The sequence below is a fragment of the Homo sapiens genome, chromosome 11, assembly GCF_000001405.40.
Source record: "Homo sapiens chromosome 11, GRCh38.p14 Primary Assembly".
In the NCBI taxonomy this organism is placed as follows: Eukaryota; Metazoa; Chordata; class Mammalia; order Primates; family Hominidae; genus Homo; species Homo sapiens.
Window position 1 is genome coordinate 18,230,567 of NC_000011.10, and position 24,525 is coordinate 18,255,091.

Sequence of the window (24,525 nt, forward strand, 5' to 3'; positions counted from 1 at the left end):
TTTTATTGAGACAGGGTCTCACTCTGTCATACAAGCTGGAGTACAATGGAGTGATCATAGCTTACTACAGCCTTGACCTCCTGGGCTCAAGCAGTACTCTAGCCTCAGCCTCCCAAGTAGCTGGGAATACAGGCACATGCCATCATGTCTGGCTAATTTTTTTGGTTTTTAGTAAAGATGAGGTTTCACTATGTTGCCTAGCTGGTCTTGAACTCCTGGGCTCAAGCGATCCTCCTGCCTCAGCTTCCCAAAAGGCTAGGATTACAGGCATAAGCCACCACACTCAGCCCACAATGTACCTTCTCCATAAGGAAAGAGCTCACTGGGGGACAAGGCCTAGAGGCAGAGAGTGGACAGGATGCAATGAATTGGGCAGTACAAAGTCTGTATACAGAGAGGCCTGGAAACTGCAACAAAATAAACTGTGAGGCCCTGAAGAAGAAGTGGGAATTTGGGGGTAGAAGTCCAATCTGAGATACAGAGGAGACTGATGGAAGACTGCCCAGGGCTGTGCCAGAGCCATGACTCCAGCCACTCAGAAGCCCAGGATGATGGTCAGTGCTTTGCCGGCTTAGGCTTACTCAGGAGGGGAAGCTGGGGCCGAAAATGACCAGAGAAGCTTGGCTTGGGTCATGTGAGGAGCCTGCATAGTTACAGGCCAGCTGGGAGTCCTTGGTCCCCCTCAGTCACAGGCTCATCTGCCATGGTGCTGTTTATCTTCCATATGGCCTCAGATGACCATTCTTCCCAGAAAGTCTGCCTCAATGTTCCCAGTTTCCACCAACAAATTCAATTTGACAAACATTTATTGAACACCTCTAGGTGCCCTATACCAGTTCCTGGGGACACAAAGCTCAGTGACCCTGTGTCCCTGTCTGGGGGGAGAAGTGTGTGGCTCACAGCCCAGTTTCCCTGAGAGCAGAGGAGCAGGAAGCTCAGTATTTCTTAGGCAGGCCGTCAGGTCTGAAGCGGTCGGGGTCTTTGCCACTCCGGCCCCATTCCTCAGCTTTCTCGTTGGACTTCGAGTCCTCCAATACAGTGCTGCTGTTTCCAAATAAATAGCAGTCTATTAATCCCTGAAGATAGACCCTGGAACGGCTGCAACCCAAAGAAAGGAGACAGGAGATTAATCTCTTGACTCACCTGCTCACCTGAGACAGCTCCACCTGCTAACTCCCTCCTCTTCTCCCACCCAAGTAATGACTGAGAGGAGGCTGGAAAACTCAAGGAAAGGGGAAGAAAACTATCAATCTTCTTGGGCAAAGGCCTAAGTCTACTGATACTTGCGCTCTGCAACAGAGTGCTTTCCCTTTTTTTTTTTTTTTTTTTTTTTTGAGACAGGGTCTCATTCTGTTGCCCAGGCTGGAGTGCAGTGGCTCAATCATGGGTCACTGCAGCCTCGACCTCCTGGGTTCAAGGGATCTCCCACTTCAGCCTCCTGAGTAGCTGGGACTACGGTGCATGCCACCACGCCTGGCTAATTTCTTTTATTTTCTGTAGAGATAAGAGTCTTGCTATGTTGCCTAGGCTGCTCTTAAATCCCTGGGCCCAAGAGATCCTCCCACCTTGTCCTCCCAAAGAGTTGGAATTACAGGTGTGAGCCCCTGCACCCAGCCCCTGCAACAGTGTGCTTTCAAGACCTCTCCTCAGTTCTTACTTTCCCTTGTGGGTGAAAGGAGACATGTCTTCACCAGCCTTGCTCTGGCTCTGCCAGCCACCCAGACCCCAGGAGTATGTGGAGGAGGGGAAAGAGCCACAGGTTCTCCTGACTCTCAAGACAGATAGGCACTGCTGGCCTCTCACTGGAGTCCCCGGGAATCTGTGTTACCTGATGAGTTTAGCAGCCCAGACACCCCCAGGTCCTCTTTGGGCAGCATCATAGTTTCCCCGAGCATAGAGATATCTGTTTGAATTTTGGTGATTGGATATCATTATGTCCCAATAGGCTCTGCCCATGTCCCCAACCCCTGGAAAGAAAAAAAATGACAAAAATGAACCCAGTGACATACTGGAGAAATGTAGAAATGAACATTTTCCACTGATTTCCAGATTTTGGCCCTTGACAAAATAATCCTTTGAAATCATACGTGGAGATAAACATTACTTCCTGTGAACAGCTTCCCTGAGTAACTGTAAGGAAGGTGCTTTTCCATGGATTACATTGAATTGTATTGGTTGGCAGTTGTCATGCCCTGGGCTACATCTTACATGGGTCTGTGTGTGCTGTGTACAAAGAGGGGACGCTCATGTGAGGAATGCTTTTCCATGGATTACATTGAATTGAATTGGTTGGCAGTTGTCATGCCCTGGGCTACATCTTACATGGGTCTGTGTGTACTGTGTACAAAGAGGGGATGCTCATGTGAGGAATGTCACAATGGAGAATAGTACTACAGATGTAAGATCCAGGGACATTACAAGGGACTTGGTGAGAAGAGGAGGGGGCTGCACATCTACCATAGCCCATAAGAAAAATACATCCTTACCAGCTGAGTGAGGACAACTAGGACTTGAATAAATCTGACTGCTATGGGCATAAATGGCACAAGAAAGCCGAGGGAATGGGCAGTACGTGATGAGGTGGAATGACCTGAGAGAGCTTCATAGGACCTGGATAATCAGACTTATCATGAAGGGCATGAATGTAAATGTTTAACTCTCTGCCCTGACAATTAAGTGTCAGTTTCCACATTCTTCAGTTGGGGGGAATCATACCTACCTCCCTGGTGGACTAAATGAGAAGATAAAATGAGGTAACATACATAAAATGCCTAGCATATTGGAATACTTGATGCAAATTGGATTCCTGTTCCTATTAGTGAAGGGCAGTAGTGACAATAAGATACCACTATACACCCAACAGAATGATAAAAATTTTTAAAACTGACAATATAAATTGTGGGCAAAAATGTGGAACAACTGGAACTCTCATAATTGTTTTGGGTTTTGTTTTTTGTTTTGTTTAGTCACAGTCTCCCTCTGTCACCCAGGCTGGAGTGCAGTGGTGTGATCATGGTTTTCTGCAGCCTTGATCTCCTGGGCTCAAGTGATCATCCCACCTCAGTCTCCTGAGTAGCTGGGACTACAGGCACCTAATAACACACCCAGCTAATTTTTTTTTTTTTTTTGGTAGAGATGGGGTCTCACTTTGTTGCTCGGGCTGGTCTCAAACTCCTGGCCTCAAGTGATCCTCCTGCCTTAGCCTCCCAAAGTGCTGGGATTACGAGTGTGAGTCATCATGCCCAGCTCTCGTAATTGTTCATGGAAGTGTAAATTGGTACAATTTTGGGAAGCTGTTTGCTGGTATCTACGAAAGCTAAATTGACATGACTATACCTTATGACTCTACATTTCCATTCCTGAGTGTATACCCACAACAGAAACGAGGGCTTATGTACACTAAAGTACATGTACACCAATGTTTATTACAGGTTTAGCCATGATAGCATAAAACTTTAAAAAGCCTAATTATCCAATAATGTAGGATAAATTGTGATATCAGTATACAATGGAATACTATGTAGCAATGAAAAAGAACAAAATATTAATACACATGACAAATGCTGTCATGTATATTAGTATGTCGTAATGTTGAGTGAAACAAAGCCGGATACAAAAGACATATTCTGTATGATTTCTTTTATTCAAAGATCAAACACAGGGACACTAATCAACAATGATAGAGGTAAGAATAGGAGTTACCTTTCGTGAGGGTTGTTAACTGGAAGAGGGCATGAGAGACCCATCCGGGGTGTGTGAAATGTTTGACATCTTGATCTGATGGTGTAATATGGATGTTTGTATGTGTAAAAACCTCATCAAGCTATACTGTGTACTATATGTAAGTTATATATCATTTTAAAGTTTTTAAAAAGATTAGTGGAAAAATAGATGTTTGAAACAGGTCTAAGCCAGGAAGAGCTATAGAAAATGTCTATCAGTGCCTGTGTTGTTCAATCAATAAATATTTTTGAGTTCTGCTGTGGTTTACGTGTTACCAAGTTCTTTAAACCAACTCACTTGGAAAAAAGAAAAGCTGTGATAAATAGTTTTAATTGTTACTTAGGTACTGTGTTCTAAGGGATATTTCTCACTAACTTCATGTATTATTTTGTGTCTGTAATTTTGTCAAATAGTTTATCTCTGGCATGGCATGACTGTCCTTTCTCTGATGCATGCTTTATGTTCATTCTATGTTTTCCAGATCTACTAGCAAGAGTTTTCTCCAAGCATCTGACAGATTCTGTCACTGGGTGACAGAAAAACCCAAGACAGTTGTTCTCATTGGCATTGTGCTTAAAGTAACCTGGGGAGTTTTTCAAATGCTATTCCTAGTCCCACTTCACTTCTAAGATTCTGACTCAGTAACTATGAGAAGAGGCTTCAGAGTGTACTTTTAAAACAAACACCGGCCGATTTAAATGCTGGTGGACCATACAACAAATTCTGAAATACACTGACCTAAGGGAAAAGATATTCTCTACTATGTGCAGAAAAACTTAGTACATGCTACCAAAACTTTTTAAAAACTATTTATAGAATATCATTTTTAAAAGCACAAAATGCAGAAAAAATGAAAATTTATAAAATTTCAATTGAAAAATTACAAAAAATTCAACTACAAAATTAATAACAACACATGAAGTTCAAAGTATTGCATAACCTGACAAACATAGTTTTCCCATTTTAACAGCTAGTCAATAAGATTCGTTTCCCATCCAGAATGGCAGAAGTCAGTTTCCCAGCCGTATCTCAGCCCTCCTGTGGCTAATCAGTAGAAATTTGCTCTTTTTATTTATGGATAGAAGTTAGGGCTTAATTTTCATAAGCTCTGCATCCCAAGCATTGGCCATTTGCTTGGGTACAGGATGGGATTTCTCTACTCTCTGCTAGGCATGTCTCAGTCTTGGAGTATAATTGTGAACTCAGTATATTCCCTGAGGTGGATGAGCTAAATAAACATCATGCCCTGAGAAATCTGCCATCTGTAAATTTCCGCAGTGGGAGATAACCCCCTGGAAGTTTTTATCCTTCTGCACTCTACACCAAGAGTACAGGCTGGGCCCAAAGCATCTTTAACCTCTCGTCTGGAAACCCCAAGGGAGGGTGATAAATCAGACCAGCCTAGAGGAAGAAACAGATACAGAAAACCACACTCCTGCTCTGACCTCTGTGTGGCTTCTCTAAGGAGCACTCACATCCAGTGAGTATGTGGCCCCTGCTCAGAATGAATCCTGGGTATGTGCCCTCCATCCTCCAGAGTTCTTACCTTGGAGAGCCTCCTTGAAAAACGAACGCCAGCTTTCACTGGTGACTCCCATGACCAAGGAGCAGAAAACAATGCCTGTGAAAAGCCTCATTGTGCTGAAGAGAAAGAAAGACAGGGGCAGAGGATCATAAAAAAAAACACAGATCTATGTTTTGAGGACTGAATTTCTTTCCTTTTTTTCTTTCTTTTTTTCCTTTTCTTTCTTTCTCCTTCCTTTCTTTCTTTCCTCCCTTTCTTTCTTTCTTTTTTTTTTCCTATTGCCCAGGCTAAAGTGCAATGATATGATTAAGGCTTACTGCAGCCTCGACCTTCTGGGCTCAAGTGATCCTCCCACCTCAGCCTCCTGAGTATTAAGGACTACAAACGTGCACCATCACACTCAGCTAATTTTTTTTTTTTTTTTTTTGGTAGAGACAAGGTCTTGGTATGTATGTTCGGCCCAGGCTAGTCTCGAACTCCTGGCCTCAAGCAATCTTCCTACCTCAACCTCCCAAAGGATTACAGGCATGAGCCACTGTGCCAGCCAAAGGACTGAATTTGAAAGACTAATTCCCCATTTCCATTTGTTTGTATGAGAATCATAACTGCATGAAAGATTGAAACGGGTTTTAAGAAGAAGCATAAACCCTTAATTCTCAGCCCAGATCTCTAGAAAGAATAAGAGGATTCCAACGTGTTATTTGGTCTGTGGTCAATTTGTCACCCAATACAGCAGACTAAAGTCAATCAAGAAGCATTTCCTGAGTTCCTACTCTCCTCAGCACTGACCCCGTAATGAGGTAGAAAACACAGTTTCTCTCCAATTGAAATTTGACAATTATGTGAGAAAAGGATCTCAAAAGAGTCAAATAAGAGAAATTACTCCTTGGAAGAAACCTCACCTGTGGACCTTTCTCCAGATGAAATTTCAGTAAAGGCAGAGCTGCTGGTATCTTCTGGCCGTGGAGCTATAGTTGGTACCTCTGCTGGCTTTGGCATTAATGGGAGAACGGTTTTAAATCCAACAACCTGCCTTGCCAAAGTCCTTTTTGCTCAATTCTTTGGGTATTTTAAAAATTAACATATTGGGTAATAGTGTTTCCTTATCTAGAAGTAGTTTTCCAAATTGGGTCATCAAGGTATTTATTTTCTGGCAGTTTTTCTTAATTGCCACTTTTCCCTCTTTTTAGTTTCCTGTATCACAGAAGAGTTGTATTTGCAAAATCCAGTGTGGGAAGACAGAGGTCTTTCTCCACTTTCTTCTCTTTGTGTCTTTCCATTCTTAACTGTTTAGTAGGAGGTCTTCCCAAAAAATTGCACATAGATATTATGCTGTAGGAAGTGATCAATATTATTAGCAAAAGAGATGTTTGCTTGTCTCTTGTGACTTCTCTCTAAAGAATGTAAGGACACAGAACAAGCAAGACTTGACTGTACCATTCATGGGATGAGGTAATGATTCTGGGAGAATACAAGGACAGGAATAACACCAGAAGATCAAGGGTGAAGGCCTTTGAGGCATAAAAACTCTTTTTTCATATAAATATGTATTATTCTGCACTTTCTTTTAAACTTACTATTTATTGGAAGTCTTTCCATGTCGGGCTTGTTGCTTTTTTTTTTTTTTTTTTTACAGCTACACAGTATTCCATTGCATGGATGGACCATAATTTATACAATATTAATGGCTGTTTTGACAGTTATTAACCTTTTGATATTACAAATAATGGTGCATTTATTAACCTTGTACATATGTCTCTTGCACATGTACAAATATATCTCTAGGATAAATTCCTACAGAAGAAACTCCATGGTGAAAAAGTATCAGATTTTATAAATTTTTTGTTTGTTTGTTTGAGACAGAGTCTCACTCTGTCCCCCAGGCTGGAGTGCAGTGGCATGATCTCAGCTCACTGCAACCTCCACCTCCGGGGTTCAAGAGATTCCCCTGCCTCGGCCTCTTGAGTAGCTGGGATTATAGGCACATGCCACCACATCAGGCTAATTTTTCTATTTTTAAGAGAGACGGGATTTCGCCATGTTGGCCAGGCTAGTCTCGACCCACTTACCTCAAATGATCTGCCCACCTCGGCTTCCCAAAGTGCTAGGATTACAGGCATGAGCCAACGTCCCTGGCCCTAGATTTTATAAATTTTTATATGTTGCAAATTGCCTTCCATGAGGGCTGTATCAATCTCTACTCCCACCAGAAATGAGTGAAAGAACTTGGTTCCACATTGTCTCTCACACAGTATACTCTCAAACTTTTTGGTCTTTGAAATTGTGAGTAAAATAAAACTCAAAGTAATTTTAATTTACATTTCTCTTATTATGATTTTGGTTTCACATCTTTCCACATGTTTAAGAGCTATTTCTATTTTCTAGGAATTGTGAATTCATACCTTCATATCAAAGTAGTCATTTTTTACTGGTTTATTGTGTTTTTATTTATCACATTAGAGAAACTTTTTATATACAGGGAAAATGAGTATGTTATCTAGGATATGAGTTACAAATATTTTTCCCAGCTTATTTATCTTCTGATTATGATGGCTTATGTTCTGCCAAAGAAATTATTTATGTTCTTGTCTTTATTAATATTTTCTTTAGTTGTCTTCTCAATTTCATAGTATTTGAAGAGCTTTCCCTACTTTGTTTTTTTGTGGTTTTCTTAAACTCAAATGTTTTTATTTCATTCCTTTTTAAAAATTTTTTGTGGGTACATAGTAGGTGTATATAATTATGGGGTACATGAGATATTTTGGTACAGCCATGCAATGCGCAATAATCACATCATGGAAAATTGGGTATCCATCCCCTCAAGCATTTATCCTTTGTGTTACAAATAATCCAATTATACTCTTTTGGTTATTTTACAATGTACAGCTAAATTATTACTGACTATAGTCCCCCGTTGTGCTATCAAATACTAGCTCTTATTCATTCTAAGTATTTTTTTGGTACTCATTAACCATCCTCACCTCCCCTCACTCCCCCCCTCCCCACTACCCTTCCCAGCCTCTGGTAACCATCCTTCTATTCTCTATCTCCATGAATTCAATTGTTTTGATTTTTAGATCCCACAAATAAGTGAGAACATGTGATGTTTGTCTTTCTGTTCCTGAATGATTTCACTTAGCATAATGACCTCCAGTTCCATCCTTGTTGTTGCAGCTTTCCCTACTTTGGGCTATAAAAGAATTTTCCATGGATTCACCAGATAATGTTAATATTATTATTATCATTTTCCTTATTTGTTTATAAATATTTAGCATATTTGGAATTTGTCCTACCGTAATATATACAGTATGTTTTCAACATGATGTTATTTTAGATGGTCACCCAGTTGTACCAATCCCATTTGTTGAATAGTCCGTCTTTTACTTAATACGTTAACATACAACCTTTATCACATACAAAATTCTCATATGCACTTATGTCTAATTCTGAGGATTTGGTTCCACTGATCAGGTTTTTTCTATATATAAGTCAGTACTACACTGTTGTACTTATTGAGGCTTTCTTCAATGTATTAATTGCCCTCATTACTTTTTTTTCAGAAGTAGTTGGAGTTCATTTTCTATTATTTCTTCTAACTGCTAGTTTTTGTATCCACACCTTCTTGTCTGTGGTGTTTTGATTGATGTCTGGGGTGTCCAGGAGTCCTATCATACCATCTCCCATTCTCTCTTATCACTGCTCCATTTAGTTCTCCAGACCTTCTCCTGCAACCACCTTCACGAGATAGTCAATGACTCCATGTTGCTTAAGCCAAAGGTGAACTCCTCAACTGCTAAGCAGAATCTGATACTACTAATCAATATCTCCATCAGGGATTCTGGAACACCATGCTTTCCTAGTTTTCCTCCTTTCCCAACAGCTGCTCCTTCTCAGTCTGTTTTGCTGTATCCAGCTTCTCCTCCAAACTTCTTAGAGAATGGAGACACCACACTGAGCCTTCAGACCTCTCTTCAGTCTCCATCCACATGCTGAGGGAGCTCATCCATGCCTCTTAGCACAGGTTCCAAAGGCCATGGTCTTGTTAGTGGTGGTTATTTACACTGAATCTTCATTGCCTGGATCAATGCCTGGGTCATGTAGGAGTGAAGAAAAAAGGCTTCTTCCTTCACTCTCTACAGTTCAGCTGAAAATAAACTGACAAAGGCAGATTAATAGGAGAAAAAGTCATATACACGTATTTTAACATGCAAGGGGGAAAATCACAGGAGGGTGATTTCCCAATAACCCAATGGGGTACCGGTGATTATATACTATTCTTCATAGGGGAGGAGAAGATGGGGAATGTACACAAATTTTTTGAAGTCATAAATGATTATTAGGAAGAATGAGTGGACCTGGGGAATAGAAATTAACCTGTAAATGATTCTCTTGAAATTTGAATGAGGCAAATAAGCAGGTGTCATCTTTTGAAAAAGTCCATCCAGTTGTGGTTGTATTCCTCAGTCATCTTCTCTGAAATAATGAGATTTCATGGAGCAGGTGGAAGGCTATTGTTTTCTCTTTCATGGGATGCAGCCATAAGGCAGATAAAAGAAGAGCAGAGAATAGCCTCTTCCAGCATCTGCTGCCTTTCAAAGGCCTTTAAAATAATCAGCCTACCAGGGTACTGTATTTTGGGGTGACATTCCCTGGGTTCCTTTAGTCACATAGCTACTTATTTAATAAATGTTGATGGTACTGGTATAAAAATAGACACGTAGACCAATGGAACAAAATAGAGAACCCAAAAATAAAACCCCATACATATAACCAACTGATCTTTGACAAAGTCAACAAAAACATACAGTGGGGAAATGATACCTTATTCAATAAACGGTGCTGATAAAAGTGGATAGCCATATGCAGAAGAATGAAATTTTATATCTCTCATCATATATATATATACTCAAGGTGGATTAACAACTTAAATGTAAGACCTGAAACAAAAAATTCTAAAAGAAAACCTAGGAAAATTCTACCAAACATTGACCTAGTCAAAGAATTTATGACTAAGATCTCAAAAGCAAATGCAGCAAAAAAATATATACACAAGCAGGACTAAACTAAACTAAAAACTTCTGCACAACAAAAGAAATAGCCAACAGAGTAAACAGACAACCTAAGAACGGGAGAAAATATTTGCAAACTACTCATCTGACAAAGGACAAGTACCAAGATTCTACAAGGAACTCAGACAACAAGAAAAAAGGAAATAACCCCATTAAAAAGCGGGCAAAGGACATGAACAGGTATTTTTCAAAAGAAAACATACAAATGGCCAACAAAATATGAACAAATGCTCAACATCACTAATCATCAGAGTCACAAATTTAAACACAAATTTAATCACAAATTAAAACCACAATGAGATACCATCTCACACAATCAGAATGGCTATTACTAAAATGTCAAAAAAACAACAGATGTTGGTGAGGATGTGGAGAAAAGGGAATGCTTATACACTGCTCATGGGAATGTCAATTAGTACAGCCTCTGTGGAAAGCAGTATGGAGATTTCCCAGAGAACTAAAAATAGAGCTACCATTTGACCCAGCAGTCCCATTACTGGGTACTACCCAAAGGAAAATAGATCATTATATAAAAAATATACCTGAATGCATGTATTTATCACAACACTATTATTCACAGTAGCAAAAATATGGGATTAACCTAAGTGTCTTAGGTTAATCAACGAATGATTGGAGGGGTGTGTGTGTATGTCTGTATACACATATATACACCATAGAATACTATTCAGCCATTAAAAAGAATGAAATCGTATCTTTTGCTGCAACATAGATAGAACTAGAGGCCATTATCTTAAGTGAAATAACCCAGAAAGTCAAATATCACATTTTCGCACTTATAAATGGGAGCTAAATAATGTGTACACATGGACATAGAAAGTGGAATAATGGACACTGGAGACTCAGAAAGATGGAGGGCAGAAGGGGGCCGAGGATTGAGAAATTACCTGACAGGTACAATGAACTCTACTTGGGTGATGGTTACACTAAGAACCCAGATTTCACCATTATGCAATCTATCAGTGTAACAAATCTGTACTTGTACCCCCTAAATCTATAAATAAATAAATGAATGAATATTTTAAATAACAATAATAAATGCTGAATGAACACATGGAAGCACATTTCTGAACGTTTGAAATAATTCCTAATTCAATGACATGTTTAAAAATAACAAGCAGCTCAATTTGCATGTAGCATGAGGCACATTAATTAGTCATAGGAGATAAGACTGAAAAGCTTGGATACCCTATTAGTCAGGGTTCTTGAGAGACACAGGACAAATAATTTATTTGTGTATGTATGTATGTATTTATTTATTGTAAGGAATTGGCTCACAAGATAATTGGGGCTGAGAAGTCCCACGATCTGCCCTCTGCAAGCTAGAAACTCAGGAAAGTGTAATTCAGTCTGAGTTCAAAGGCCTGAGAACCAGAGCAACTGATCACGTAAATCCAATTTGAGGGCAAGAGAAGATGAGAGGAGATGTCCAACTCAAGCAGTGAGGCAGGGGAAAAGGGAGGCAAATCTGTCCTTCCTCTATTTTTGTTCTATTCAAGCCTTCAACAGATTGGGTGATGCCCAGTTGCATTGAGAATAGCAATCTACTTTATTAAGTCCAATTCAAATGTTAATCTCCTCTGGAAACACCCTCACAGACGACCCCAGAAACAATGTGAATCTGGGCAGCCTCAAACCGACACAAAAATAAATATAACAGTAGGCTGGGCTCAGTGACTCATGCCTGTAATCCCAGCACTTTGGGAGGCTGAGGCAGGCAGATCACTTGAGCCCAGGAGTTCAAGACCAGCCTGGGTGACACGGCGAAACCCCATCTCTACAAAAAATATAAAAATTAGGCAAGTGTCATGGCGCACATCTGCAGTCCCAGTTATTCAAGAGGCTGAAGTGGGAGGATCTCTTGAGCCCCGGGAGGTCGAGGTTGCAGTGAGCCATGATCATGCCATGGCACTTCAGCCTGGATGAAAGAGGGAGATGCTGTCTCAAATAACGAAACAAAACAAAACACAACTATAACAAAGAGCAATGCAATTTCCCTTTCTCAAACTTTTCTAACAGAGAGAAGCATGTTAATTCTTACTGAGGAAAACCAAGTAATTAATAAAAGGTATTTGGGTGTGCCAGAGCATAGGTATTAGGTGTGACTTTACAAATTATAAATTCCTGGGTAAACCAAGCACCTTTTTCCTTGGATACAAATTTCGATTTAAAAATTTTTTTCTTGTTTTTTTTATACTTTTTCTTCCTCTGAACCTATGGACTATATTGAATTAAATTTTTTTTCAAATTATAGATTTCAAGAAGGGGAGTGATTTGGTCCTTTACAGACGGATGAATGAATTTCTGTATCCAAATGTTGCTTCAGTTAATTATTTCTAGTAATAATATGTTGATTGCAAAGTTTTGAATATCTACAAAGACTAGACTTTGAAAGCTTGCTTTATTTGACTTTGAAAGCCATTCTTTCTCTCATCCTCCCTTTCTCTCCCTCCTGCCCCCCAAAATCTACAACTTCAGTACTTGTGACAGAAATCTAATTGTAAGCATTTACAATTGCTATTGTAATAATAGCATTACAGTCTTTTTTTACAACTTGGGGTCAACTCAGACTTTACTAGACTGAACACTAATCTCAACAGTGCATTGAGTCTGCTCCCATGAGCCAATCTTCCACGCCTCTCTCCATCTTATTTATCTTGCCCTTGCCTTGTTTTGGCATTGGCACATCTTTGAGACTCAGACTCAAACCTCCTATACCTCCTATACCTACACTTCTATTAGTGTCTTTTGATGAGAACTGTATGAGAAAGTTCTGTTGTAAATAGTTCTACTTTATATCCATACATTTTCTTCCTCCTTGACAAATAAATTTGTCTTTACTCTGTAAATATAATTTTATAACTAGTCTTCTCACCTTAGGAGTCCTCCTCAATCCTTTTTCAGAGAAAAGGGGTATGCCAGTTATCAGTTTCTTTATTTTCAGCTCCACACCCACCCCTTTGTCCTATTTGTGATGCTGGAGCTGGACCCTGTGAACATTTCTCCTTTGCCAGTTGGGCATGATGTTAATCTTCACCCATAGAGGGCGCTAGAGGGCCAAGCAGGAGATGAAGACATCTTTTCCTGTTCTTTTGTGCTTTGCTTCCTTTCAGCTCCTGCAGTACTCTTCTCCTGTACAGGACAACCAGTGGCACTTGCCCCAGAGATCTGAGTGGCATCCCAAGGCCAAGACAGTTTCCTGACAATTTCTGTGGCACCTCAGTAGGATGTCCATGATGTTTACCAGCAGCCCACTTATTTTAATCAGCTTGGGCTGCTGTAACAAAATAGTACAGCCATGCTGTGAGTTGGGGTTTCAACATATACATTTTGGCAAGATACAGTTCACTCCAGAGCACTGCCACTTCCACAGCTGGCTTCCCAGGGGTTTTGATAACCTATCTCCTGCCCCCAAGCAGTTTCCCAAATTTGTCACAGGAACCCTAGCTGCATTCCCAGAGTTAAGTTACACCCTGGGTAGCTTCCTGCCAAGTTTCATTAATACCTCAATGGAGTTCTTATATGTCAGTTTTGGCTTGAAGGACCCAGTAAACTATTTGCCATCCAATGTCAGTCTTGTGAGGGGCCCAATCTCAAATTTATACCTTCTCATATTCTGTACTCTTAGAAGTTAATGCTGCTCTCAGTTAATAATTCTTTATATTAAAATTTCCCTTTTCAAATTACTGCCTGGTTTCTGTCTCCCAAAGGGACCCTGACTGATAAAACAGTTCTTCTCTATCTGGCTCTCTCTCCACTGCCACCACTTCCACAACTTTGATCTAGTTAAGCTCCAGAAACTCAGAAAACATTCATAAAAGGAGTCGCATTACATATTTAGACTTGAAAGAAGGCAATGAAAATAGAGTGGAAGAGAACTGCATTGGAGGTATTTTTTAGATGGAGTGGGTAGAAATTCATTAATGCCTGGATTTGTAGGTGTTGCTGAGAAATGAAAGGAAGACTCGGGTGGCAGTCGCTGAGGCAGGACTTCACAATTCAATTGTCTGTAGCCCCTGCCTCCAGAAACAGAGATCACTGAGGAATGAAGAACTGAGGGACAGAGAAGGTAACAGGAAATAATTCACAGGAGATGAGAAGCCTGGGCAAGGAAGGGACTGGAAATAGCAACAATGTAACCACAAAGGTCTGGAAAAAAGGAGGTCTAATTTGTGGAAGGGTTGATGCAGGTGTCTGCACTGTGACTACTAAGAATGTCTCCTCACATCCAAACACATAGGCCTACCTAGGCTCACCCTTCATGTGGGTGTGCATTGATTTCCCTTTTGTACCAAACAGGCAGTCAGCACCAAAAGAAGAACACACTGTTTCAACAAATTCCACCTCTTAAGCATTTATTAGATGCCTATTATATGCCATATCTCAGCTTCTCTGGACATAGACCTCACTAACTTTGTATCCCTGCCCCGAGGGCCTCATAGCCAGGTCTCCTGAGAGCAGAGTGAAGAGGAAGCTCAGTATTTCTCAGGCAGGCCAGCAGGTCGGAAGTGATTGGGGTCTCTGCCACTCCTGCCCCATTTATTGGCAGCCTGATCGGCCAGCGAGTCCTCCGCACCACGGCCTGTGAGTCTCTGGATATTCTCTCTGGCATTGCTGTAGTCCAGGCAGGCAAGAAGGAGATTAATCATCAGGCCAGTGAGCAACAGCTCACCCTCCCATTCTCCCCGTTCCAAGGGAGGGCTCAGAGAGGAGCCCAGAAAGGCCAAGGAAGGAGGAGTGAAAACACTGACCCTGCCTGGGCACTGCCCCATTCAGACAGGCTGGGCACCCCTAGGCTGGATGAACAGCACCCAGAGGGGGAGGGGGAGGAATCACTCACTCCTACCATCCACTCAGACCCTCACACTGAGCACAGAGGCAGAGAGAGGGCAAGAAGAGGAGGGACCACAGCCTCTAACTTCTCCACAAGGAGCTCGTCTCCCTCCTGACTGTCCAAGGCAGGCAAGCTCTGCTCACCCAGCCCTAACGTCCCAGGAGCTCCAGTTACCTGATCACTTCTGCAGCCCAGGCACCCCCAGGTCCCCTTTTGGCAGCATCATAGTTCCCCCGAGCATGGAAGTATTTGTCTGAGCCGATGTAATTGGCTTCTCTCATGTCAGAGTAGGCTCTCCACATGTCCCGAGCCCCTGGAAAGGAAAGGAAAGGCAGAAGGGACATCAGGAGAACATAAAGACTCCAACAACACCTTAGAGGGGAATGAAAGAAGGACAAATCTTCCACTGACTTCAAGCTTTCAGCCTGTGATCATAGCAGCCTTGGATACCATGGGTTGAGAAGCACATTCCTTTATCCTAGTTGGCTTCTTCAAGTGCCCTGGTGAAGAGCCACTGCTATAGAATGAAGCTGCCTATGATAAGATCCAGGAGTGTATATGAATGAGGTGGTGACATGGAATACTGATGCTGAGAAAGGTGGCAGACACAGAGTACTTCTGCCCTGACTACTAAAGTATATATTCTTGCAAATGGAATACATGTCATTGTGACCTGAGTTCCAGTGACTGTTAGGAGCATAAAAGTCCCTAAACACTTTCTCAGTAGGCTGTACTGATACTGTGGGTTGCTTGAGGAAGCAATAGAGCAGCGGTTCTCCGCCGTGGTTGCACTTTCTTTTTCTTTTTTATTTTTTTAGACGGAGTCTCACTCTGTCACCCAGGCTGGAGCACACTGGAGCAATGTAACTCACTACAACTTCCGCTTCCCGGGTTCAAGTGATTTTCCTGCTTCAGCCTCCTGAGTAGCTGGGATTACAGGTGCCTGCCACCACGCCTGGCTACATTTTCATATTTTTAGTAGACACAGGGTTTCACCATGTTGGCCAGGCTGCTCCGGAACTCATGACCTCAAGTGATTCATCCACCTTGGCCTCCCAAAGTGCTGGAATTACAGGCGTGAGCCTTGGCTGCACTTTCTAATCACCCAGAGAGAAACTGAAAGTCCCAGTGCCCAGGCCACACCCCAGGCCAGTTTCTGCAGACTCTGCTGGGGAGTTGAAGGCATGGGTAGTTCAGGTGATGCCAAGGTGTGTCTGAGATTCATAACCATCAACCTCTGGGAGGTGGTCAGTGATGCGTCTACCTGGCAAGAGCCCTGACCTCAAGCACAGCCGGGCTCAAACCTCTGCCCTGCCACCTGCTGACTGGCAGTAAGTCCCTGGGCATTGGCCTCAGCTGCTCTAAGTCTCAGCTTTCTCACCTTCACAGAAGGGATGCCTGCCTCACAGAGTCATTCTGAAACTAGATGAGAAAATGCTGTGGTCCTTGTGGGGGCTTGAGGCACGTTAGTTCCCAGCTCTTGTCAAGAAGGCTGGAGAAGGAAGAATGGAAACAGAACAAACCAGGAAGGGAGCCCCTGACAGAGCGAGGCTAAAGAGCCCTGTACATTATCCAACTAGGAAATCGAAGGAGGAAGGAGAAAGAAGACAGAAGAGTCAACAGCCTTAGTCATACTCCTATGCGATTTATGCTGAGGGACATTTTATACCAATTGCAGGCCTTATTTTGCATCTTCTACTCAAAACAAACAGCTCAGGTGCTCCTGGAAAGGATGATTGTTCTTTCTCTGAGTAACTGACAACAATCCTCGACTCTCTAATCTGTTTAGCAGCTCCCCAGGCACATTGGGCAGCACAACCTAAGGCAGCGGCTCAAATCTTAAGGAAGCCCAAAAATACCCCGTGTGCGTTGTTACTGGATGCCCCGTCCCTTACGGCTCAGGAGATGTGTTTTTGATACACCTTGCAGCGGCTTCTGAAATGTGATCCATCCACTTAACACATCCTGAGAAGCTGCACTACGGGGAAAGGGGATATTCCCAGCAGCTCTGAAAGACTCGAGACAGGCAACCCAGCAAACCCTAGTTCCTGGCAGGCCTCAGCAACGCAGACACTAGCAACTCTGTGGTTCAAAAGCAGCCTTCCGAAAGCATCATTTTCCCCAGTTTATCAGGTCCAGGGCGATGTTTCTCTTCAGAAATCCTGCAAACCTTCTGAAGCCTTACCATCAAAAGCCTCGCCAAGGAACGAAAAGAAGCTTCGGCTGCTGACACTCAGGACCAAGGAGCAGAAAACCAGGCCCGTGAGAAGCTTCATGGTGCTGAAATGAAAGGAGAAGTCAGGCAGTCGCCCACAAGACTGGCACAGCTTCCCTTGGGACTTATATTCCGACGAGAGCCTGGTTATTTCCACTGGATCTTATTAGAGTCTCAGTGGCTCATCTAGGAAACCTTGCAGCAGGACCTCACTCAGAGCCAGAAGCCCTCGGTTCTGAACCCATCAGCCCTGAAGCCTGACTGCATAAGAGGATGCCAATGTGGCACTGATGGAGGAAGGCAGGAGTTACCACCAGACTGTCACTCCCTCAAGTAGCCTATAATTCCCCATAACGCATTTACCGTGTGTTCCCTCTGCCCCGCACAGAACTCAACATGGGATAAACACAAAGCAGGATCATTATTTTTTATTCTTAAAGCCTTTAGCACCTGGTATTCCCAGGTGTTCTCCCATCCAAGTACTACCAGGCCCGACCCTGCTTACCTCTCTAGATCAGAGGAGATAAGACACCTTCAGAATGGTATGGCTGTATGCCCCAGGATAACTATTTTTTTTAAAGGAAATGATAATCTTGTTGGGAAAGAGAAAACAGAGTAAGTTTTAAAAATCACTCCTTGGTGTGCTCCTCACCTGATCTGTGCTGTAGCTGAGCTGCGGGTCCCTGTCTGCCAGGGAGAGGTGGCTGCTATTTATAGTGAGCCTTGCTGGTCTCTTGGGAGGGAAGAAAAGCTGGATGTGGTCCCTGGGGAAAGTCCCTGCAGGTCATTTCCCCTACAAACTGGTCTAAGACAAGTTCCTGGATGCCGGTGGTTTCTTCATCCCGGGTCATTTATCCCAGTTGTGTAACCTATGGGAACAAGAGAGGTTTGCTGTGCCTTGGCAATGGACAGGGTGCTAGATCAGCTCTGCTCCTCAGCATTGGGGGAAGTGCAGCTGCAGAGATGCCAGTGGGAGCCCCGTGATGGCGGCACCTGGGCTGCTGGAAGGTGTGGAGTGAGGGCAGCTCTTCAGCCAGCTCCTGACTATACCGGTCATTTCCTCAGGATGGGCCCTGCTGGGCCACATGGCAGATGACCCTGACTGAAATCCCTGTGAGTTCATGTCTAAAGCTTTAAGCTTTAAAACGGACAGCCTACCCCTGCCACATCTCATGTGTGCCCTGGAAGCCTCCTTCCACCCCTCTGGATGTCCTGATATTTCTCAGCACAGAAAATCTCTGCTCCGCTGGCTTAGCCAATTTGGAAATGCTTTTTCTAAGTTGGCTCCTGAGCCAAGGACAATGTAGAGAGGGGGACTTTCTGCTGCCCCAGCCTAGTCCTGGAGCCCCACCTTGGGAGAATGAGAGTGTGGTGCGTTAAATAGGCAGCCCAGCTGGGGACGTGCCCAGCATCCAGGCAGGGAAGGGTGGGAGAGCTCTTGGTCTGCTGTATTATCACGGAGGGGTGCAGGGGGCATGCAGATCACTCTCTCATGAGAACATCAACAGGGTCAGATTAGCTCTGCAGAGGCTTATGGAGGAGCATGGTGGCCAGAGATGGGTCAGTACCAGAGCCCAGGGGGGCTGAGGCCAGGACATGCAGAGAGGCTGGTGGACATAGCAGCAACTCTGGTTTCTTCTTCTCCAGTCCATGTTCATACCCTGAGGGCTAGGCATTTGTAATAACAAACAAACAAGCAATTTAGAAATGGGCCAGGCATGGTGGCATGTGCCTATAGTCCCAGCTACTTGGGAGGCCAAGGCAGGAGGCCTGCTTGAACCCAGAAATTTGAGGCCAGCCTGGGCAACACAGCAAGATTATCTTAAAAAATTTTTTTTAATCTCTGAGAAATGGGTAGGGCCAGGAAGTAAAGGATGGCCAAATACTCCATAAGCAGCAAATGCGTGGCTCCAATGTGAACAATGATATTATAGACTCTGTTCTGAGACCTATGCATTGACACCTCCACCTCCCCCACTACATCTTGCCACCTTAAAACCACTGAGAGTGGTACCTGCTGGAATGGGTCCACACACACAGTCACACATATTTTAGGCAGGGTAGTTGACATCCCCAGGGAAAAAGAGCTCACAGAGAGAGGCTGAATGTTTCCAACTGGGTAGCAGTAATAGTACATCATGCTGTACATGGTACAGCACAGATCAGGTGAAAATAATAGCACATCGTGATTAACCAGGGCTTATTCCAGGGAGTCAAGAAGAGTTTCATATCAGAAAAATCTATCTTTGTAATTCACTATACCAGTAATCAAAGAAAAGGATTGTACATTTATTTTACTAGATGCAGAAAATGAATTTCATAATTGTCAACATCTACTGATGATAAGGAAAATGTATAACAAAATAAAGAGACCATTTCTGACTTGAGAAAGGATAAATACCAATATGTTATAGCAACAGTTCTCAAACTGTTTTCCAGGGAACCCTAAGAATCCCTCCTTAGGGAGGCTTTGATCTCAAAATTATTTTTAGAATAGTGCTAACACACTATTTTCATGTTTCAGTCTCATTTTCTCATGAGTACACACAATATGACAAGTTAGTTGATATGAGTGTGGATTTCCACATGGTAACTGACTTTTCAGAAGCTACCACTTGTTGAGTTTGGTATAATATAGAATAGCCACAATTATCTAAAAATACCATTAAAATACACTCCCCCATTTCAACTATATATCTGTGTGAGGCTGAATTTTCTTCATATACTCCAACCTAAATAACATATTAAAACAGGTTGGATGATGAATCAGATAGGAAAATCCAGCTATGAAAAAAAAATCAGACATGAAAAATTTTCAAAAGGGTAAAACCATAGTACTCTTCTTACTTTTTTTCTTTTGGAAGATGGTTATTTTTCATAAAAATATATTATTTATGTTAACATATAGAAGATGGATAATTTTTTGAAGAATTGATAAATGTTTAAATTTTTTCTTTCTATTATGGTAAATACTGATGAATAGAGTCCCCATAAATAAAAGTTCTTTGGGGTATTCAATAATTTTTAATAGTGTAATGGGATCCTGAGACCAAAAGGTTTGAGAATCATTGCTCTACAGCAAACATTATGTGTAATTAAGACACTTCAGGTGCATTCTCAAGAAGACCAATAAAGAGGCCACAATGGCAGGCGTGGTGGCTCACACTTGTAATCCAAGAACTTAGAGAGGACGAGGCAGGTGGATCACTGGAGGTCAGGAATTCTCAACCAGCCTGGCCAACATGGTGAAACCCTGTCTCTACTAAAAGTACAAAAATTAGTCGGGTGTAGTGGCAGGTACCTGTAATCCCAAGTACTTGGGGGGTTGAGGCAGGAGAATCACTTGAAGCCGGGAGGTGGAGGCTGCAGTGAGCCGAGATCGTGCCACTGCACTCCAGCCTGGGCAACGGAGTGAGACTTCATCATGGAAAAAAAAACAAAGAGGCCAGGATGTCTGGTTGTTACTGCCACTGTTTCACATATCCCTGAAGGACCTGCCCAATGCTAAAGAAACACAAGGAAGGTAAGAGGTGAAAGAGAAGAAATGAAACTATCATTGTTTGAAGATGACACCATCTTTTACATAGAAAACCTGTTAGAATCAAATGGCAAGCTATTAGAACTACTAAGAGAATTCAGTGAGGCTGCTGTATTCATGGCAAAATTTTAACAATTGATAGCATTTCTCTGCAACATTCCTTAATAGTTATAAAATACAGCACAAAGTAGTACCAAAAATATTAACTATCTAGGAAATAACCTCTTACAGAGAAAATTTAGTCTGTTAAAGGATAAACAGTGGCAATGTACGTCATGTCCACAGAGATTATATTTTAGCTTAGCAAAGATACCAATTCTCCCAAATTTATTTATAAATTAAATGCAATGTGAATCAAAATTTCCCACTGGAATTTTTATCAGGAAGGCAACAAATTCTTTCTTTCTTTCTTTCTTTCTTTCTTTATTTATTTATTTATTTATTTATTTATTTATTTCCTTCCTTCCTTCCTTCCTTCCTTCCTTCCTTTCTTTCTTTCTTTCTTTCTTTCTTTCTTTCTTTCTCTCTCTCTTTCTCTCTCCCCCCCTCTCTCTCTCTCTGTCTCTCTCTCTCTCTCTTTCTTTCTTTCTTTCTTTCTTTCTTTTTAAGACAAAGTCTGGCTCTGTCACCCAGGCTGCAGTGCAGTGATACAATCTCAGCTCACTGAAACCTCAACCTCTCCGGCATCAGGTGAACCTCCCACCTCAGCCCCCCGAGTAGCTGGGACTACAGGTGCACACCACTGGGCCTAGATAACTTTTTGTATTTATTGTAAATAAACACAAAAAATAAATATTTTGCTCAGGTTGGTCTGGAACTCCTGGGCTCAAGCAATCCGCCTGCCTTGGCCTCCCAAAGTGCTAGAATTACAGTTGTGAGCCACCACACCCAGCCAATAAATTAATTCTTTATGATGAATAAGTTATCTATGAAAATTAAGTCAGCTGGGTGCGGTGGCTCACGCCTGTAATCCCAGCACTTTGCCGGGCTGAAGCAGGTGGATCACCTGAGGTTGGGAGTTCAAGACCAGCCGGACCAACATAGAGAAAACCCGTCTCTACTAAAAATGCAAAATTAGCTGGGTGTGGTGGCATATGCCTGTAATCCCAGATACTTAGGAGGCTGAGGCAGGAGAATTGCTTGAACCCGGGCGGTGGAGGTTGCGGTGAGCCAAGATTGCACCATTGCACTCCAGCCTGGGCCACAAGAGCGAAACTCCATCTCAAAAAAAAAAAAAGAGAAGTTAAGTCAATGAAAAGTTAAGTCAATTAAAAAAGTAAGAGCTGTAGTGTTTAGATATATACACACACACATATATATATATTTATCTTTATATATGTATATATATCTTTTCCTTTTTTTGAGACCGAGTCTGTTTTTGTTGCCCAGGCTGGAATGCAGTGGCGCGATCTCTGCTTACTGCAACCTCTGCCTCCCAGGTTCAAGCGATTCTCGTGCCTCAGCCTCCCGAGTAGCTGGGATTACAGGTGCCTGCCCCCATGCCCGGCTAATTTTTGCATTTTTAGTAGAGACGGGGTTTCACCATGTTGGCCAGGCTGGTCTCAAACTCCTGACCTCAGGTGATCCACCGGCCTCAGCCTCCCAAAGTGCTGGGATTACAGGTGTGAGCCACCGCGCCCAGCCATATATTTTGCTTTTCATCTGCAGCTCCTGGATCCTAACTCCTTGTTATATTGTTGGGCACTTTAGGCCTCAGTAAACAGAATCTCTGTCTATGACCTTCTCCTGTCCTTCTTCCACCTGCCCAAAGCAGGACTCTAATTTGATTGTGGGTCAAAAGACTCTCATTCCAGAAAGGGCCTTGCCTCATACCCTAGAGGAAGGAATGCTGCACAGAAACGCCAAGTCTGAACAGACAAGCCTTGCTGGGTTTATACCATATGCTTTTTGTCCAATCACATTTCTTCATGGTTGCCAATCATGCCTATGTAATGAAGCCTCCATAAGAACCCAGAAGGACAGGGTTCAGAGAGTTTCCACATAGCTGAACACTATCTGGAGAGTGAACACTTCCTAGAGAGTGGCACACCCAGAGAGATCATGAAAGCTCCACGCCCCTTTCCCCTTACCTCGCCCTCCACATCTCTTCATCTGTATCTTTCATAATATCCTTTATAAATAAACCAGCAAATGTGTTTCCCTGAGTTATGTGAGTCACTCTAGCAAATTAATCGAACCCAAAGAGGGGGTCATGGGAACCCCAACTTGAAGCCAGTCAGTCAGAAGTTCCAGAGGCCCAGACTTGCAACTGGGGAGAAAGAGGGGGAGGTCTTGGGGACTGAGCCCCCAACCTGTGGGATCTGACACTGTCTCCAGGTAGGTAGTGTTGGAACTGCATTGGAGGACACTCCTGGTGTCTGCTGCTTGGTGTGTGGGGGGAAAAACCCACACCTTTGGTTACGGAGGTCTTCTGTGTTGACGATCATTGCTGTTTGAGGGCAGAGGGAATACACGGTTTGAGAGAGTTTTTCCCTGACATGAGCGAACAGGGGACATGTACTGGTCTCTGAGATGGGGGATCATGGGATCTGCCACAAGTGGGGAGACCACTGTGACCCCTGCCACAGTCTTTGGGGCAGAGGGTGTCTCGGGGGCAGAAGAAGCGAGAGTTGTTTGCAGTAGCAGTTATGTCCAAAGTGGGCGCCAGGAAAGTAGGGCTGCCCAGCTTTGAAGAGCCTCCTTACTCCCAGCCTGAATGAAACCATTTCCTGTAAAGCGCTAAGCATAAAGTTTGCCAATGGTGATCCACGGAGAAGTGAGTGTACCCCACCCCGCCATCCCACAGGGAATGTCGGAGTGATGTTGATCTGCACCTAGGGAAGGAATGGTTCATGAGATGTGGTGGAGATGCTGAGGGCCCGTGGACATCAGATCCTACCCTACCTGTGCCAGGACAAGCCATGCGCATGTGCTTCAGACCACCAGGCAACAGGAGTGTTGCATGAGGTGTGAAGCAGGCACCTGGGAAAGAGGAGTGTGAACAGCAGATGGGACACACTGGGGGCAGTCATAGGAATGAAATGTCCCAGGATGGATGCAGGCAGGTTATGGAGGACTTAGTGAGGACTGCTCTCCTGGTGGGAATTGTGGAGTGGGAGACTGGATGGAGACTGGAGGTGTTTTAAGTAGGGAAGCCAACTTGCAAGGGTGACCAGGGAAACTATGTCGGCCAAGGGTGAGACATGCACTGGCAAGACTCTCAGACAGCCTGGCTTATCTAAGCAGAATGCTTGAGCCATGCCAACGGTGCCTCGCAAGTTGTATTAATCATGTCCTTTCATTTTGTGTTTTTGGTGCTTGGCATCTGGGCCCTTGCTGACCCTAAGGGACCATTTCTCTCAGAGCTAGTCAAGTCCTAGACACAGTAAATGACTCTCCTGGGAGCATGCCTTCCATGTGCAGACCAACCAATCAAGAGTCCACACTCCCACCCACCTCCTTTATCGAGCTCTCACATCCTGGGGCACCATCCACCTGCCCTAATCACTCAAGGACCACGTCCCAAACAACTAGGGACAGCCTCCATGCCCCTGCACCCATTGAAATTATTCATGCTAGCCAATCCTAAACCTGTGTATGCTG

At 43.1% G+C, this 24,525-nt stretch overlaps 3 protein-coding genes and 1 pseudogene across 14 annotated transcripts, besides 4 other annotated features; all 4 read right to left on the reverse strand.

Moving 5' to 3' along the window:
* Positions 1 to 788: 788 nt before the first annotated feature.
* SAA4 (serum amyloid A4, constitutive) lies at positions 789 to 6,236 on the reverse strand. Its single transcript, NM_006512.4, has 4 exons — positions 6,151 to 6,236; positions 5,270 to 5,364; positions 1,829 to 1,967; positions 789 to 1,098 (listed from the first exon to the last, which is right to left on the reverse strand). Exons 2-4 carry the CDS (start codon positions 5,358 to 5,360, stop codon positions 936 to 938), a joined length of 393 nt encoding a protein of 130 aa, NP_006503.2. The 5' UTR covers positions 5,361 to 5,364; positions 6,151 to 6,236; the 3' UTR covers positions 789 to 935.
* Positions 789 to 18,102, reverse strand: SAA2-SAA4 (SAA2-SAA4 readthrough). Its single transcript, NM_001199744.2, has 6 exons — positions 18,037 to 18,102; positions 17,355 to 17,449; positions 15,344 to 15,482; positions 5,270 to 5,364; positions 1,829 to 1,967; positions 789 to 1,098 (listed from the first exon to the last, which is right to left on the reverse strand). The coding sequence occupies exons 2-6, from the start codon at positions 17,443 to 17,445 to the stop codon at positions 936 to 938; spliced, it is 627 nt and encodes a 208-aa protein (NP_001186673.1). The 5' UTR covers positions 17,446 to 17,449; positions 18,037 to 18,102; the 3' UTR covers positions 789 to 935.
* SAA2 (serum amyloid A2) lies at positions 7,670 to 18,102 on the reverse strand. Of its 12 annotated transcripts, none has more exons than NR_169749.1 (5): positions 18,037 to 18,102; positions 17,355 to 17,449; positions 15,344 to 15,482; positions 9,623 to 9,721; positions 7,670 to 9,403 (listed from the first exon to the last, which is right to left on the reverse strand). NR_169749.1 is itself a non-coding variant. In NM_001385667.1 (5 exons), exons 3-5 carry the CDS (start codon positions 17,443 to 17,445, stop codon positions 9,382 to 9,384), a joined length of 252 nt encoding a protein of 83 aa, NP_001372596.1. In that variant the 5' UTR covers positions 17,446 to 17,449; positions 17,890 to 17,950; positions 18,037 to 18,102; the 3' UTR covers positions 7,670 to 9,381. The 12 variants fall into 12 exon arrangements, 10 of the variants coding, with proteins under 10 accessions (NP_001372596.1, NP_001372601.1, NP_001120852.1 ...); NM_001385667.1 differs by lacking the exon at positions 9,623 to 9,721 and adding an exon at positions 17,890 to 17,950; NM_001385666.1 differs by lacking the exons at positions 7,670 to 9,403; positions 9,623 to 9,721 and adding exons at positions 14,674 to 14,949; positions 17,890 to 17,950.
* Positions 13,216 to 13,510: an enhancer, noted in NCBI's record as "tiled region #9378; K562 Activating DNase unmatched - State 12:CtcfO". NCBI's record gives its function as "activates a minimal TATA promoter and a strong SV40 promoter by Sharpr-MPRA in K562 cells {active_cell/tissue: K562}" and the evidence as "EXISTENCE:reporter gene assay evidence [ECO:0000049][PMID:27701403]".
* Positions 13,216 to 13,530: a biological region, named in NCBI's record as "Sharpr-MPRA regulatory regions 9378 and 7495".
* Positions 13,236 to 13,530: a silencer, noted in NCBI's record as "tiled region #7495; HepG2 Repressive non-DNase unmatched - State 12:CtcfO". NCBI's record gives its function as "represses a minimal TATA promoter and a strong SV40 promoter by Sharpr-MPRA in HepG2 cells {active_cell/tissue: HepG2}" and the evidence as "EXISTENCE:reporter gene assay evidence [ECO:0000049][PMID:27701403]".
* Positions 13,641 to 13,690: an enhancer, noted in NCBI's record as "active region_4492". NCBI's record gives its function as "activates an Ori minimal core promoter by ATAC-STARR-seq in GM12878 lymphoblastoid cells {active_cell/tissue: GM12878}" and the evidence as "EXISTENCE:reporter gene assay evidence [ECO:0000049][PMID:35858748]".
* On the reverse strand, positions 17,823 to 17,940 carry RNA5SP333 (RNA, 5S ribosomal pseudogene 333; annotated as a pseudogene).
* Positions 18,103 to 24,525: the final 6,423 nt, after the last annotated feature.